This window comes from Homo sapiens, chromosome 13 (assembly GCF_000001405.40).
Source record: "Homo sapiens chromosome 13, GRCh38.p14 Primary Assembly".
Lineage (NCBI taxonomy): Eukaryota > Metazoa > Chordata > Mammalia > Primates > Hominidae > Homo > Homo sapiens.
The window spans coordinates 33,512,946-33,526,426 of record NC_000013.11 but is presented as its reverse complement, the minus strand read 5'-3'; the positions used below and the strand labels follow the sequence as shown (position 1 = coordinate 33,526,426).

The following is a 13,481-nucleotide window of genomic DNA, read 5'->3' as shown; positions in this document are numbered from 1 at the left end:
GTTTCAGTTGCTGTGCTAAGTGCTCAGCTACATATTACAAATATAACTTATTTGTAAGGATTCATAGCTTCCATATTTATTTTATGAAACTAATATCTTCTTGAAAGAAAAATTAACACAGGGCATAAATGAATATGGCTGCAAAAATACCAAAGAAAACACCAGCTAACAAAATTCAATAGAATTGAAAGGAATTGCATGTCACAGCCAAGCACAGTTGCTCTCACAAGCATAAGGATGGTTTAATAATTGTGACAATTATTGCCGGCCACAGTGGCTCACGCCTGTAAAAAAAAAAAGTACACAGCAGTAACTATCAGAAAATATTAGCTACTATAATCATCACCATGTTATTGTCATCATAAGCAACATCGTAAGCAAGAGAAATATAATTTTTAAGCAGCACATTTAAAAATTCTCATCAGACTTGGCATGCTCCTGTGTACTCACATTCTGGCAGATGCCAAATCTGCCAGGCACAAGGAAGTGTTGAATAAATGTCAAAAAGTATTGTTTTACAGGCGAATTAAGATTTGAGGAACTTAGGTCCACTGTTAGGTAGCTAGTATTTGGCAGTGCTAGATTCATGTACAAGTAGGTTTATTCTACATTCCCCCTCCCACCAAAAACAACCTCTGATAATCTATGAGTAAAATTAGTTAAATAACAGATTTACATCTCCAGCCTTTCCTGCTTCCGCAGATCTGATACTTTCTCCAGACGGAATATGCCAAGACAGAACATTGCAGTAGAGGCTTCTAGATAACTTGGACATAGAGAGATGTGGAAGACTTCCAAGCAATGGGAGGAATTAGTAAAGACAAACTTATTACTTCAATTTGATAAAAATTCATCCAACTTTCTTGAAAAGAACTTTTATTGTATTTAGAAATTTTAGGATTCTCTTTATACTAATATATTAATATTTTTAAATAATTTTATTTGCATAGTTAACCTTCAGAAATATAATCTTATAAATTGTTCTCCACTATTACCACATATGGTCTGAAATCATAAGGCTTAAAAGACCATTGTGGCTCTATATGAACATCGTTTTATTATTTCAGTTTTTCAATATTACTTCAGTTTTAAAAACACATTTGGAGGCAGGCAGGGTGACTCACTCCTATAATTTCAGTGCTTTGGGAGGCCAAAGCAGGAGGATCACTTGAGCCCAGGAGTTCAAGACCAGCCTGGTCAACGTAGCGAGACCCTGTCTCTACAAAAACTAAAAAAATGTAGCCAGGTATAATGGCAAGTGCCTTTAATACCAGCTACTGGGGAGGCTGAAGCAGGAGGATTGCTTTAGCCTGGGAGTTTAAGGCTTCAGTGAGCTATGATCATGCCACCGCACTCCAGCCTGGGTGACAGAGCGAGACCCTGTCTCTAAGAAAATAATCATGAAATAAAACTAAACTAAAATAAAACACTTTTGGTGATCAAAGAATACAAAATTTTGGTTAGGCAGGAGGAATAAATTCAGGAGATGTACTGCACAACCTGGTGACTACAATCAATACTAATATACTGCATACTTGAAAATTGCCGAGAGTAGATTTTAAGTGGTCCCACCGCACACACAAAAATAAGTATTTGAGGTCATGCATATGTTAATTAGCTTGATTTAACCATTTTAAAATGTATACATGTTTTAAAACATCATATCGTACACCATAAATATATACAATTTTAATTTGTCAATTAAAAAATAAAAGATTATAATAAATACATAAAATACCTCTGGTTTTGTTTTTAAAGTTTTAAAAAATGCCAATATAGTTCTATAATTTATCTTGAGAGTTTACAATCACTTTTAGTTTATAAACTTACATTATCAAGTCCTTAGGCTTTACTGGGGCTGATCTCACTAACCAAAAATGTCTTTGGAAAAATTATTAATATTTAAGAATATTCTTACATTTTATGTCAATTTTCAAAATGATTGTAGTTTAAAAAAATTTTTATTGATGTAACAGTCTTTAATTAACTTGAACTATTGCCTAAGGATAGTCCTTTATATATGAAAAAAACCTCTTTAAAAAATTTTTTTACAGGATTCTATAAACCTGGAGAGTAATCCTAAGAAAAATCATCAGAAGAAAGGAATTTGTAGAACTAAAACTGCAAACATCCAGAATCTTGATGGTGTGCCAAGCCAAATGTCAACTGGAACTCAACCAAAAACTAAAGTAAGTTTTAGTTTTCTTACATATGCCCCTGGTGTGAGTGTCCTGCCCTGTTCATACGGTGTAATTCACCAAGGTAAAAACAGCACTGTGTTCACAAATTATCTATTTTTCTTGTTTGTTTTTTCAAACTTAACATTAGCATTAACTAGTGTTTCATTACAACATGAGAAAATTTGTAATGAGAACATATATAGTTGTTAATATTTATAAAATTAGAAAAAAATGCTCTTGCTGAAGGTAAAACGGTTAGTCCATTGTAACCATGGCAGTGGATTGTACATACTTCAATTCATCTCTTCATTTTTAGTAAAAACTTATGCTGCAAATGCAAATCTCCTTGAACTATGTTTAAAAGTCTCCCTGTCGGGTTAGTCTGTCTCCCACTGTTCGGAGATCCAGAAAAGAGGCATAAGAGTGGGAATCACATCTAGAAAACATCAGCTACTAATATTCAATCCACTTTGTTTCGAAAATTGCCTTTGTTCTACCAAGCTCAAAATAATATACAGAGTTTTGTTGTTGTTGTTGCATTTTGGGGTATATTTTTAATGAGGAAAAAATTGACCAACCTTTTCTATAGACGTTTTACAACTTTTCATTATATTTATAACTTTTTTGAATCTTTTAAATTTTTTTCACTTTTTAAAAATTGAATCTGAAAGTAGGCCTTCATAAGTCCTGACCAGTGTTAGATATAGAAGGATTTTAAGTAATAATTTGCAAGGTTGTATACAGTTGCTTATAGTTCTTGATTTTATGATGCCTTGTCTGCTTTACAATGTAAAAAGGTAATAATAATTTTACAAATAAATATGAAAGGCAAACATCATGTGTCCTTCTGACAGTAAACAAGAGAAACTTTAAAAATTACCTAGAAAGGGATAATTTAAGAAATTACTCAGCAAGATATGGGCAGGGTTAAGGTAAATCAACAATTCTAAAGTGTTGGTGGCTCAGCAAGATCTTTGACCTTCACAGAGAAATACAGCCACAACCAAACTTCTGCCTGACAAAGAAGAGGCTCAGGGAATAAATACCCAATTTCTTCCTCCTCCCATCTTCTAACCTCCTCCTGGGACTTCCTGCTGGCTGAATCCATGGAGAAGTCAGGAGGAAAGGAGCTAAGTTGATCCATTCTTTAGAAACTGTGCCCCACAGAACAAGGTGGAAAAAAGCAGAGAGTAGTTTCAGATAGTCAAATGGAAAATATTCAGCACACGTGATAATAAAATAACATTGTTAACTGCCATGATTGAACATGGAATATGTTCCACGCACAATGCTAAGCTCTCACACACATTGCCTATTTCATCCTTACAACAGCCCTGCAAGGCATTACTACCTTAATTTTCTAGAGAAAAAACCTGACCTTCACAACATGGCAAAGTTACCAGGGTAGCTATTCATGTTATGCTGAATTTACAAATGAGAAGACCAAGGCCTAGCAAAGGTAGGTGACTTGCCCAAGGGGGCAAAACCAGTACTCAAGTCTGGGTCTCCATGCTGTCTGTCACTACCAATACACAAGAGAGCTTTTGTAATGCCTTTATAAAAAGGTAATGCATATTACCAAGGGAAATAAGGCAATCTGAAAAGGCTACATACTGTATGACTTCAACTGTTAATACATGAAAAAGACAAAATTAAGAAGACAGTAAAAAATCCGTGAGTGCTGGAGTTAGGTGGAAGGAAGGATAAATAGGCAGAACATGGAAGATTTTTGGGGGAATGAAACTACTGTGTATGATACTATAATGGTGAATACATGTCATTCTACATTTGTCAAAATGAATATACAATAGAATATACAACACCAACAGTGTACCCTACTGTACACTATGGGCTTTGTGTAATAATGATGTGTCAGTGGAGGTCCATTATTTGTAACAGATGTACCACTCCAGGGTACAGTGGGCTATGTTGATGATGGGGGTGCTGTGCATGAGTGGAGCAGGTGCCATATGGGAAATGTCCGTACCTTTCTCTTAATTTTGCTGTGAACCTAAAACTGCTCTAAAAAGTGAAGTTTATTTTGTAAAAACATTGCTTTCAATTAAAAAAAGAAAAATATAGCACATCTTAATTATATTTACTGTGATCCACATTTTGTTTCTTTTTCGTAAAGAATGCCTGATAAATAGTATTAAACTTCTACACAAGACTTCCTACTTGGAACATTCCTCAGCCCAAGAAGAAAGTATTTATTAGATATTTATTGATTTTCTTAAAAATTAACAATGAAAGTTAAAAAGGAAAAAGCCATTATCTTTAGTTTAATGCTATAACTCATTGTCTATTGCCTCTTAAGGGAATGTAATTTATTAAAGAGGCATTTGGGACTTGCCTTAGCTGCTTTCCTAATAGTATTTTTTTTCATCTTGTTTCTTTGTTTTTGTAGTAAGCTCTTAATTATCCTTGGATAGATAATTTCTTTCCAAATTAGCTCATTCATGATAGGGACAGAATAACTTTATAAATTATTGTGTAAAAACATAGGGAATATTTAATTTTCCGGTCCGTTCACAAAATCATAATCTGTCAATTCTTAGTGGCACAGAGTGGAGAGGAGAAATATATATCCTCAGGTGTTAATACTGACATCTACTTATCCTCTGAACATCTTTTTCTATTATCTGCTTTCACTACCACTGTCTATAATAGGCATTCCTTCCAAGATGGTAACATGTAAACAGGCAGCATGCAAGCTGGGGCCCATGTGGCAGAGGAACCCATTTGATGCTGTTCTAGCTGTGAATCTTTAGGAAGATAGACAATAGATTCTGTTTCCCTTGCTGTTTTCCTATTCTAGAGAACAACTTCTAAAGAGTCAACTCACTTCTAATTCTTTCAACTATCATGAACTCAGAAGCTCCCACAGAGAAAAATTGCCATTGGCTGAATTTCTGTCAAGATAGAAAACAAATTCTTCAATCTAGTGTACCTTCATTCATCTGACATTATTTTCTTAGTTTCACAGGCTAGCCTGCATAACCCTATTTCAGCCATAAATTACCTGATGTGTAAAATTCACTGCCCTGTAGAACATGTCTGAGGAACATGTGCTCATTTGTGAATCTAGGCCTGACTGCCAAACAAGTGACTCTCAGTTCCTGACAAATACTGAGGGCATGGGCTCTCCCAGCTCGAGTCGTTCCCATGGGGCTAGGACTGTGCGTTGGTTGGAGATGAGACAGGTAGGTGATGGGTCCTGAGTAATGCTTATCTATCCTTTCAAGGCCACCTGTGCTCAGTGAACTTCCTAGACTCTAATTGGGGAAGCTAAGTAAGAATGAAGGAATATCTGGAGGCTTTGTAAGAGTTGAGACCTAGTGTGGGGGATAGAGATTTGACAGATGAGCCTGTACTTTAGCTGGAAAAGCCTGTACTTTAGCTATGGAAATATGGGAGAAGAGAAGCCCCAGGTGGTGGGGGCATGGGGGATCTCCTGCCTCATGTAACTTCTTCCTCGCCATTATTTCCTGCATGACAATCACAGGGATCCCTGCTTGGGATGCACAGTGGGGAAGTTCCAAGGATTTTTGGAAGAACAAAGGGATCAGAAGTGTATGTGAAGCAAATCCTCACGACAGCAGCTGTGGGGAAGGCAGAATGACTTTGACCACCAGGCTGAGGTAGCACTACCCGAGGGGCAAGCTGAATGTACACAGTGGTCCAGCAGATGAAGTTAGACTGGCCGCTATTGTTTAAAAAGAAAAGTAACGTCTTGGAGTATAAAACACAGTACTTTATACTGTGTTTATGATTAAATTAGGATGAACTATTCTAGGCTATTTAGGTCCTTATGTCTTCTGCAGCTTTGGGAACTATTTGCCAGGACTAATACCTACTAAGCCATGTCTGTGTAAAACAGCATCTGTCTCAGGAACACAGCCCAGTTGTGTGGGTGAAAATATGCAGTCACAACCGCATGTGGCCACTGCATTCTTTAGGCCTTGACTAGATATATCCACCCATGAAATCACCCCAGCTACCAGACAAACATATTTCTCCTCTGAATTATTAAAGAAGTACTTTTAAACATGGCATTTCTGAAAAATTCAAGGCTTTCATTCTGGTTTGTTTTATAGCCTTTACTGATCACATGTTTCCTCTGTCTTGAATGGATAGCAGCATCGACTGTTGCAATAAATTCTCCACTCCGCAGACCTGGGCAGCCCACACCTGTGCCAGAAATTATGCACCAGATGGCAACTGAAAATGACTGGATATCTATGAGAAGAGGATATTTAGAGAAAATACACATTTACAAGTAAAGCAAGGTATACATTTTGCAGTGCTCTTAAAAACACATTTGAACAAGTCGGCCTGCAAATATTTATGGAGTGCCTTCTCTGTGTAGACCTTCAAGAATTGCTGTTTTTGTGTTGAGTTGGCTCTATGCAGGACTTGGAAATATTACGAATACCTCATCTCTTACAAAAAGACGGGAGAAATAATGATTTCCTAATGTTTCAAGGTCTCTCCACTGTTGATTTTCTGTGTTATGAAGTTGGAACAGAGATTAAGGGATTAACCATCAACGATGCTTTCTGTGGCTTTTTAAGTTGGTCATTGCTAAAAAAATTATGTAATGGCGCTTGCTAAAGCACTTCAAGATAGGTATAGGAATCACAGTAATGAGATTTTGCAGTGGGGAAGAGATTGGGTTCAACTCTAAATGCAGCATGGGCAAGTTGGAATTTATAGCCAAGGAGGAGGGTGGAGGCCAGTGGATAAAAAAAATTCCCAGCTGGGCACAGTGGCTCACACCTGTAATCTCAGCACTTTGGGAGGCCGAGGTGGGTGGATCACTTGAGGTCAGGAGTTCAAGACCAGCCTGACCAACATGGTGATGGGGTTCCATCTTAAAAAAAAATGAAAAGGAAAGAAAAAAGAAGGAAGAAAGGAAGGAGAGAGAGAGAGAGAGAAAGAAAGAGAGAGAGAAAGAAAGAAAGAGAAAGAAAAGAAAGAAAGAAAGAAAGAAAGAAAGAAAGAAAGAAAGAAAGAAAGAAAGAAAGAAAGAAAGAAAAAATTACCAAGAGGAAATATCATCAACAGGAGTGGGAGTCTGCCTAAACCCACCTGAGAGGATTCTTGCTGAAGACAGGCCAGGGTAATCAGAAATCATCACCTGGGGGCTGGTGATGCATAATGAATCTGATCAGATATTGAGGGGCATCAGGTATGCAGGCTTGTTAAGCTGACTTAGCAGGGTTCTTGCTAAAGTGCTCAGATGGGCCTAGGAGGTTTAGATGTTTGGTCAAGCAGAGAATCTTTGTCATCATGTGCCTTGACCTTATATGACTCATGGAAGACAGGACCCATTGGAATAGCCTAGCCCATGGCAGGAGGCTCTGACCAGGGGTAGAAATAGATTTGGTTCATACACAAACAGCAGGGTCCTACAGACTTTAAATATCCAGAAAAGTCTCCATCAAGGTATGCAAAGTGCAGAAGTGACTGTGAATTCTGGCCATAAATATCAGCGTCTTGAAGTTCAGGTTCTTTAGTGATTACACAGCTGTTCCTGGAGAGTGAGTGTGACAGGTGAGTTATCAAACTGTGCCACTTGCCTCTACTCAGCCCTATCATCCTCCCCACCCTCCCCAAACAGCTGTCACCTCTTGGGAAATTTCCTTCTCTACAGTTAAGACCGCAGGACCATAAATTGGTGCCCCACCTCCCCTCCCATATTTGCATAACAAAAATGAGGTCTCCTGAATCTTTTTAGTTTTCAAATCATTTTGCTGGAGAAAACTTGAGAGGCAGTTTGGCATAGCTTTTTGAGCTGCACGAATGTTATCTTGGTGGATTTCAGGAGTAGCCACAGGTAGGCGGCTTTCTAACCCTTCATATTGAAATTAGATTGCTGTCCTTACTGTTGAGGAATACAAGCAGTGAGTCCAAAGTAGAAGGGCAATTCGATGGATAAATTTATACTTTAACACTCTTGAAGTATCTTCATTTTTAACAGATCCTGTCTTGCCCAAGTAAATCTGGGATGGGGGGTAATTTTGGCAGTGTAACAGTAAAATGAAAGCAAACCAAGTAATGCACAAGAAACTGTTTCAGAAATGGGCACAACACAGGCTGACTAGCCCTGTCTAGAAGTCTGTGCTCCTGGAAGTTGTTTCTGCTTTTTCAGAGCCTTTTCCTGCCCCCAACTTCTAGTCTCACTGATTCCCTAAAAGCTTCAAGATTGTTGTTGTTGTTGTTGTTGTTGTTGTTTGTTTTTGCCATTGTTTTTAAATAATGAGTCCCAGAAGCAGATGTAGAGGAGGAGAAAGAGTGTGGCAGGGAGCAGCCAGTAGGTAGACAGGACACAGAGACAGGGCAGGCGGTTCTCAGTACAGTCTGGTTATTGTGAGGCAGGTTTGTATACATCATGGATTGACAATGGTTTGTTATAAACATGTCTCTGTATGGATTTATTTGTCCGAAAAATATCAGAAGCGTAAAAAGAATGGCAAATCACAATTGCAAGAGTATGTCCAGCTGTTGATGGCAAACGCTTGGAAAATATCCAGCCCCATTGCTCCCTTGAGCTGGATTGATACTGCCTATGAACTTCCTTCAAGACAAACACAATCAGTTTGGCCATCCCTTTTAATTAACTCCACATTATCAGAGGAACCTTTATGCACTCCCTTGAATATCAGGACTAAATTTGTTTCACTCCATGTAGAACTGTCTTACTGGATGTAATTTTCCAGAAAGTCAATTCTGCCTTCAGGGCCAGTAGGAACATCTGTGAACATTCTGCCCCTGTTCTGCCAACTTTGGTTTAAGTCTTCAGACATCATTTTAGGAATAAGGAAAACCATTTTTTAAAATTTCTAATGGAATAACTTCAGGACCAGCATACTTGCTATATGAGTAGCATCAAATTCTTACATCTATCCTCCAGCAAATGAGGGCCAAGGAACTCTTCTTTGGTTGAGGTAGAGGTAGGCAAAACGAATTGGGTTTTAGCTGTTCAGCGGTGATGTTAATGCCCATGGGACAAAAAAAGAGGGCAGGATGAGCTTGAATAGGGTGGGGGGAACATTGTGATAAAAACCTATGATGCAGAGTTGAAAGTTCAGCATTGCCCATCAAACTGAGCCCCATAGGTAATTTAAAATATTTTAGCAGCCACTTTAAAAAAAGTAAAAGGAACAGGTATAATTAATTTTAATAGTATATTTTATTGAAACCAATATATCCTAAATCTTATCATTTTTGACATGTAATCAACACACAAAAATTACTGACATATTACTTTTTTTTCTTCTCCCTCCTTTTTTTTTTTTTTTCTGAGACAAGGTCTTGCTCTGTTGCCCATGCTGGAGTACAGTGTTGCAATCATAGCTCACTACAACCTCGAACTGCTGGGCTCAAGTGATCCTTGCTCCTCATCCTTCCAAAGTGCTGGGATTACAGGCATGAGGCACCATGCCTGGCCTGATATGTAACTTTCTTTGAGGGGTTCTAAGTCCTCAAAATCTGGTTTGTATTTTACACTTATGGCACATCTCAATTTGGACTAGCCACATCCCAAGAGCTCAGGAGGCATTTGTGGGCCATGGACAGAGAAGCTCTAGGTGGTAACCCAATAGGAAGGACTTTATGATGACCAAAGCCATTTGTTATTGTTTAACCAATAAAAAGATAATCTTATAGAATCTAAGTCAGAGAGCATTAAAAAGAATAATGAGAAAAAATTAAGCAAATTAACTTTGGATATGGATTCCCAAGAAATAGCCTGGCAAAGGAAGATTTATTTGACCAGTAGAGTTTACTGAATAGGCTTCAGATGCATGTAAGGGGATATGTTTTTTTACTTTGAATTAAAATATGATGATGGAATTCATTCAAAAATGTTCTCGGTGTTCTTAAGGTAAGTAAGAAAAGCTGAAACTGATATGCTTAATTATTGCCCTGGGTTTCAGTAATACTCCAACTATATATGAAATTTCAACTATATATGAAATTATATATAATTCATTATATTATGAATTATAATGAATTATAGATACTGAATATATATTATGACATAAATATATATAATTCATATATATGAATTATATATACATTATATATTATATATAAATTATATATAACACTTCTGAGAGTGTTATATATACAAAGTTAACATATATGTGTGTGTATGTGTGTGTGTATATATATGTGGATATATATATAAAAACTGCTTTGCTAAGAGTGAAAGTCATATGCATACCTGGGTTACTGTCATTGGCTAACGAAAGGCTATATATACTGTGGAGATAAGCTATCAGATAAAATCCATCATCACAGAGAATCGCTAATTGTCAGAAACTTGCTCCCCAGGTGGGCAACAGAGAATTAGTGGAGATGAAGAAGGGCTGTCTTTCTGTCGAAAGCATCTTAGATTTGTTTTATCAAAACATTTACTACCCATCTCTACAGCCTTCAGCCCATTACTCTCATTATGTATTTAGTGTGAGGACATGTACTGCTCAATAATTAGTTTTATCCCTCACCGTGGACTTTCAGTGGCTTCATAAAAGTGATAAATGGTTCTTCTTGGACACGCAAAATAAAGATTGGCAGGCAATTTAAAGTTAAGATTTCCCAGTAGAACCATCACTACCAACAAGCTGATACACTGACTCTTCTATATTCTGAGAAATGTTAAAATAAGGCCAAGATTTTTATGGTCCCCACTTTCTAGTGCCCCAGAGGCTTTCCTGTCCTTCATTTCTCCTGTGCCAGCTATCTCTGCACTTTCCTTGTTTCGTCTCCTTGGAGAACACGGACAAAAGTGGATGCTCCTAAAATCCTTCATTTCAAGAGGCTCTAGGTTTTGCTGAGACAATTGCTTATGTGAGAAAAATTACTTTCTTGGGAAATGGCTTAGGAAGACACAAAAACATTTTTACACCAGCAGACAGCTGAATTATTTGGCAGCATATCTTGTAAATCAGTGCTCTCAGAACCTTTTCTAAATAGCCTGCTCCGCAATACTCCATGTAATTATAATAATAACTCTTCATTAGAGTAAAGGGTTTTCTCACACATTGGAGCTTTACCACAACCTTGTGAGGACATTTGAAAGATTCCACTTTTTTGATACAGGAACTGAAGCCAGAACATTTGAATAATTTGGCCAAGGTCACACAGCTGATATTTAACACATCCAGCCTCTAGTACTCTGGCCTTTACTCTACATCACCTCCTCTTCTACATCTTTGTAAGTGGTGTTTTCCAGGCCACATAACCTGGAAGCGGTAATTGTAAAACCACACACTTTCCGAGGCTCCACTCCCATTTATTCACACTCCATCTACAATTTCTGCCCACCAGTTCTAGAAGCCTTGGGCTCTTTTTCTCCCGAGGAATCTTGGTGGGAGTGGGGTGCCGGGGGAGAGGTCCACGTATGTCTAAAACTTGGATTGGTAGACTGCATCATGGCAGGCTCCTTTTTTGTTTGTTATGACTGTTTGGAATCCATGGTATCATCTGTCACTGTCCATATTGTGGTGTAGCTGAAGCCCTCCAAAGATCCTGATGCTGCCCCTGTGTTTTGCTCTGTCACTTGCCTGGTCCAGCTAGAGGCTGTTCTAGCGTGCAGCTGCAAAGGTAACAGCAGAGTAGGAACATGCCCTTGGTCCCACCCTACCCTCCAGCCTCCATTGTGGCACCTACTGTTAAACACTGCCCTCAACAGAGTCTTTAAGGAAACTGCTCTTTCCACTTTTACTCACTTTTGACCGCCACCCTCTCTCCCAGACCAGCTCACAGAGGCTGAGCCAGATGCAACTGGTAACTAGATAACTAGGTAACAAGCCCAACAATTTCTCCAGCAGCACCCCATGGCCGTCCTTCCTTTCGATGAGTTATTTCCCTGAGTGTCTTTAGATCCTTCAAGCAAACAGACCCTGCTGGGCCTACCCTGCTCCTCCTTCCCACAAGCCAGACACATTATCTCATTTAGATCATTAAGCTAAGACCTCTACAATTCCTCCCAAACACTGTGTCCATTTTCTCCATTACACTTTGTGAACATCTACTGAATCATAGCCAGATTTTTCTGCCTGAGCGTCAAGGTATTTTCCCAACTGTTTATTTAATCTTATTATCTTCCATGCCCTTCCATCTACTGATGTCAGAGAGAATCATGTGTGTAATGGGTATTTTCCATAAATATCAATGGGTTAACTTAGTTAATTACAAGCTACAGGTGACAGATTAGAGGCTGACTTTCTCAGGCACATTTCTAGATATATTTTATTAGAGGTTAAAATATTTTTCTCTCAATCTACAAAGCTGTTATTTATTATCAGTGTCTTTTTCATCTTGAAAATTATCTTCCTTGTTACGTTACGTGAATAAAGTTGTTGGTGGATTAGTGGGGACTTCATTAATGGGGGAAACATATTAACAGCATAGCACTGTGTTGCTATTAAACAAACCAGAATGCAAGTTGAACAAAAATCTGCTCAGAAGCTCATAATCTAAGAAAGGTTATAGTAATTTAGATCTATAAAAGCATACACAGAGACTCATAAATACATAATGGCATAGCATGAAAAAAAATCTAAACTTTGTGAGCATGAGTGCAAGTATAATAGTTTTATGTGCTATGGAATTTAAAAATTAGTCATGAGAATTGCATCTTCAGAGAGGATATGGCCAGGTTAAAAACAAGTCAGCACTCACTTCCTTTTTGGGAAAACTTCAAGAGGGAAATAAGATTTCCAACACCTTCATACTATGAGGAGGAAGAAGTTGAGGTTCATGGAAGTCAGTGAATCACGTATGTCTCTCCTCCCAGATTTGAAATCAATTGAGAAATATGTATAGCTATCAGGAAGAGAGAAAATAAACACTTTATTGCTGATAAAGCTAAATTGGAGACCACGCCTCAGACCCCAAGTGTCTTCTTATTTTCTTCTACTCTTATCCCAAATAGAACTCAGTGATCCCAGGTGAGTCAGCCTGTGTGAAAGAGAGAGGGGCTGAGCAAGGATCATCAAACAGTTCTCAAAGGAGAAAGACAAGGAGAATAAACCTCATATGCCTGGTGACCCTTTACCCTATCTCACTCATCAGATAAGTCAACAGTCAGCACATTTTCTGTAAAGGGCCAGATAGTAAATATTTTAGGCTTTGAGGCCATGTGGTTTTGGTTCCAACCACTCAACTCTGCTGTTGTTGCATGAGAGCAGCTGTAGACAATATATAAACAAGTGAATGTGGCTGTTGTTATTATTTTACTAGGGTTGCCATAACAAAGTACCACACATTGGGTGGCTTAACCAGTAGAAA

The 13,481-nt window shown here is 38.1% G+C and overlaps 1 protein-coding gene across 5 annotated transcripts in view; it reads left to right on the top strand.

The window, feature by feature from the left end:
* Window positions 1–13,481, top strand: part of STARD13 (StAR related lipid transfer domain containing 13) — a 573,658-nt gene that overhangs the window by 150,368 nt on the left and 409,809 nt on the right. For all 5 annotated transcript variants that reach the window (XM_017020835.3, NM_001243476.3, XM_047430759.1 and 2 more), the window contains one exon: window positions 2,055–2,189. In XM_017020835.3, coding sequence (XP_016876324.1) covers window positions 2,160–2,189 — 30 coding nt within the window. In that variant the 5' untranslated portion in view covers window positions 2,055–2,159. The remainder of the gene's footprint in view (window positions 1–2,054; window positions 2,190–13,481) is intronic.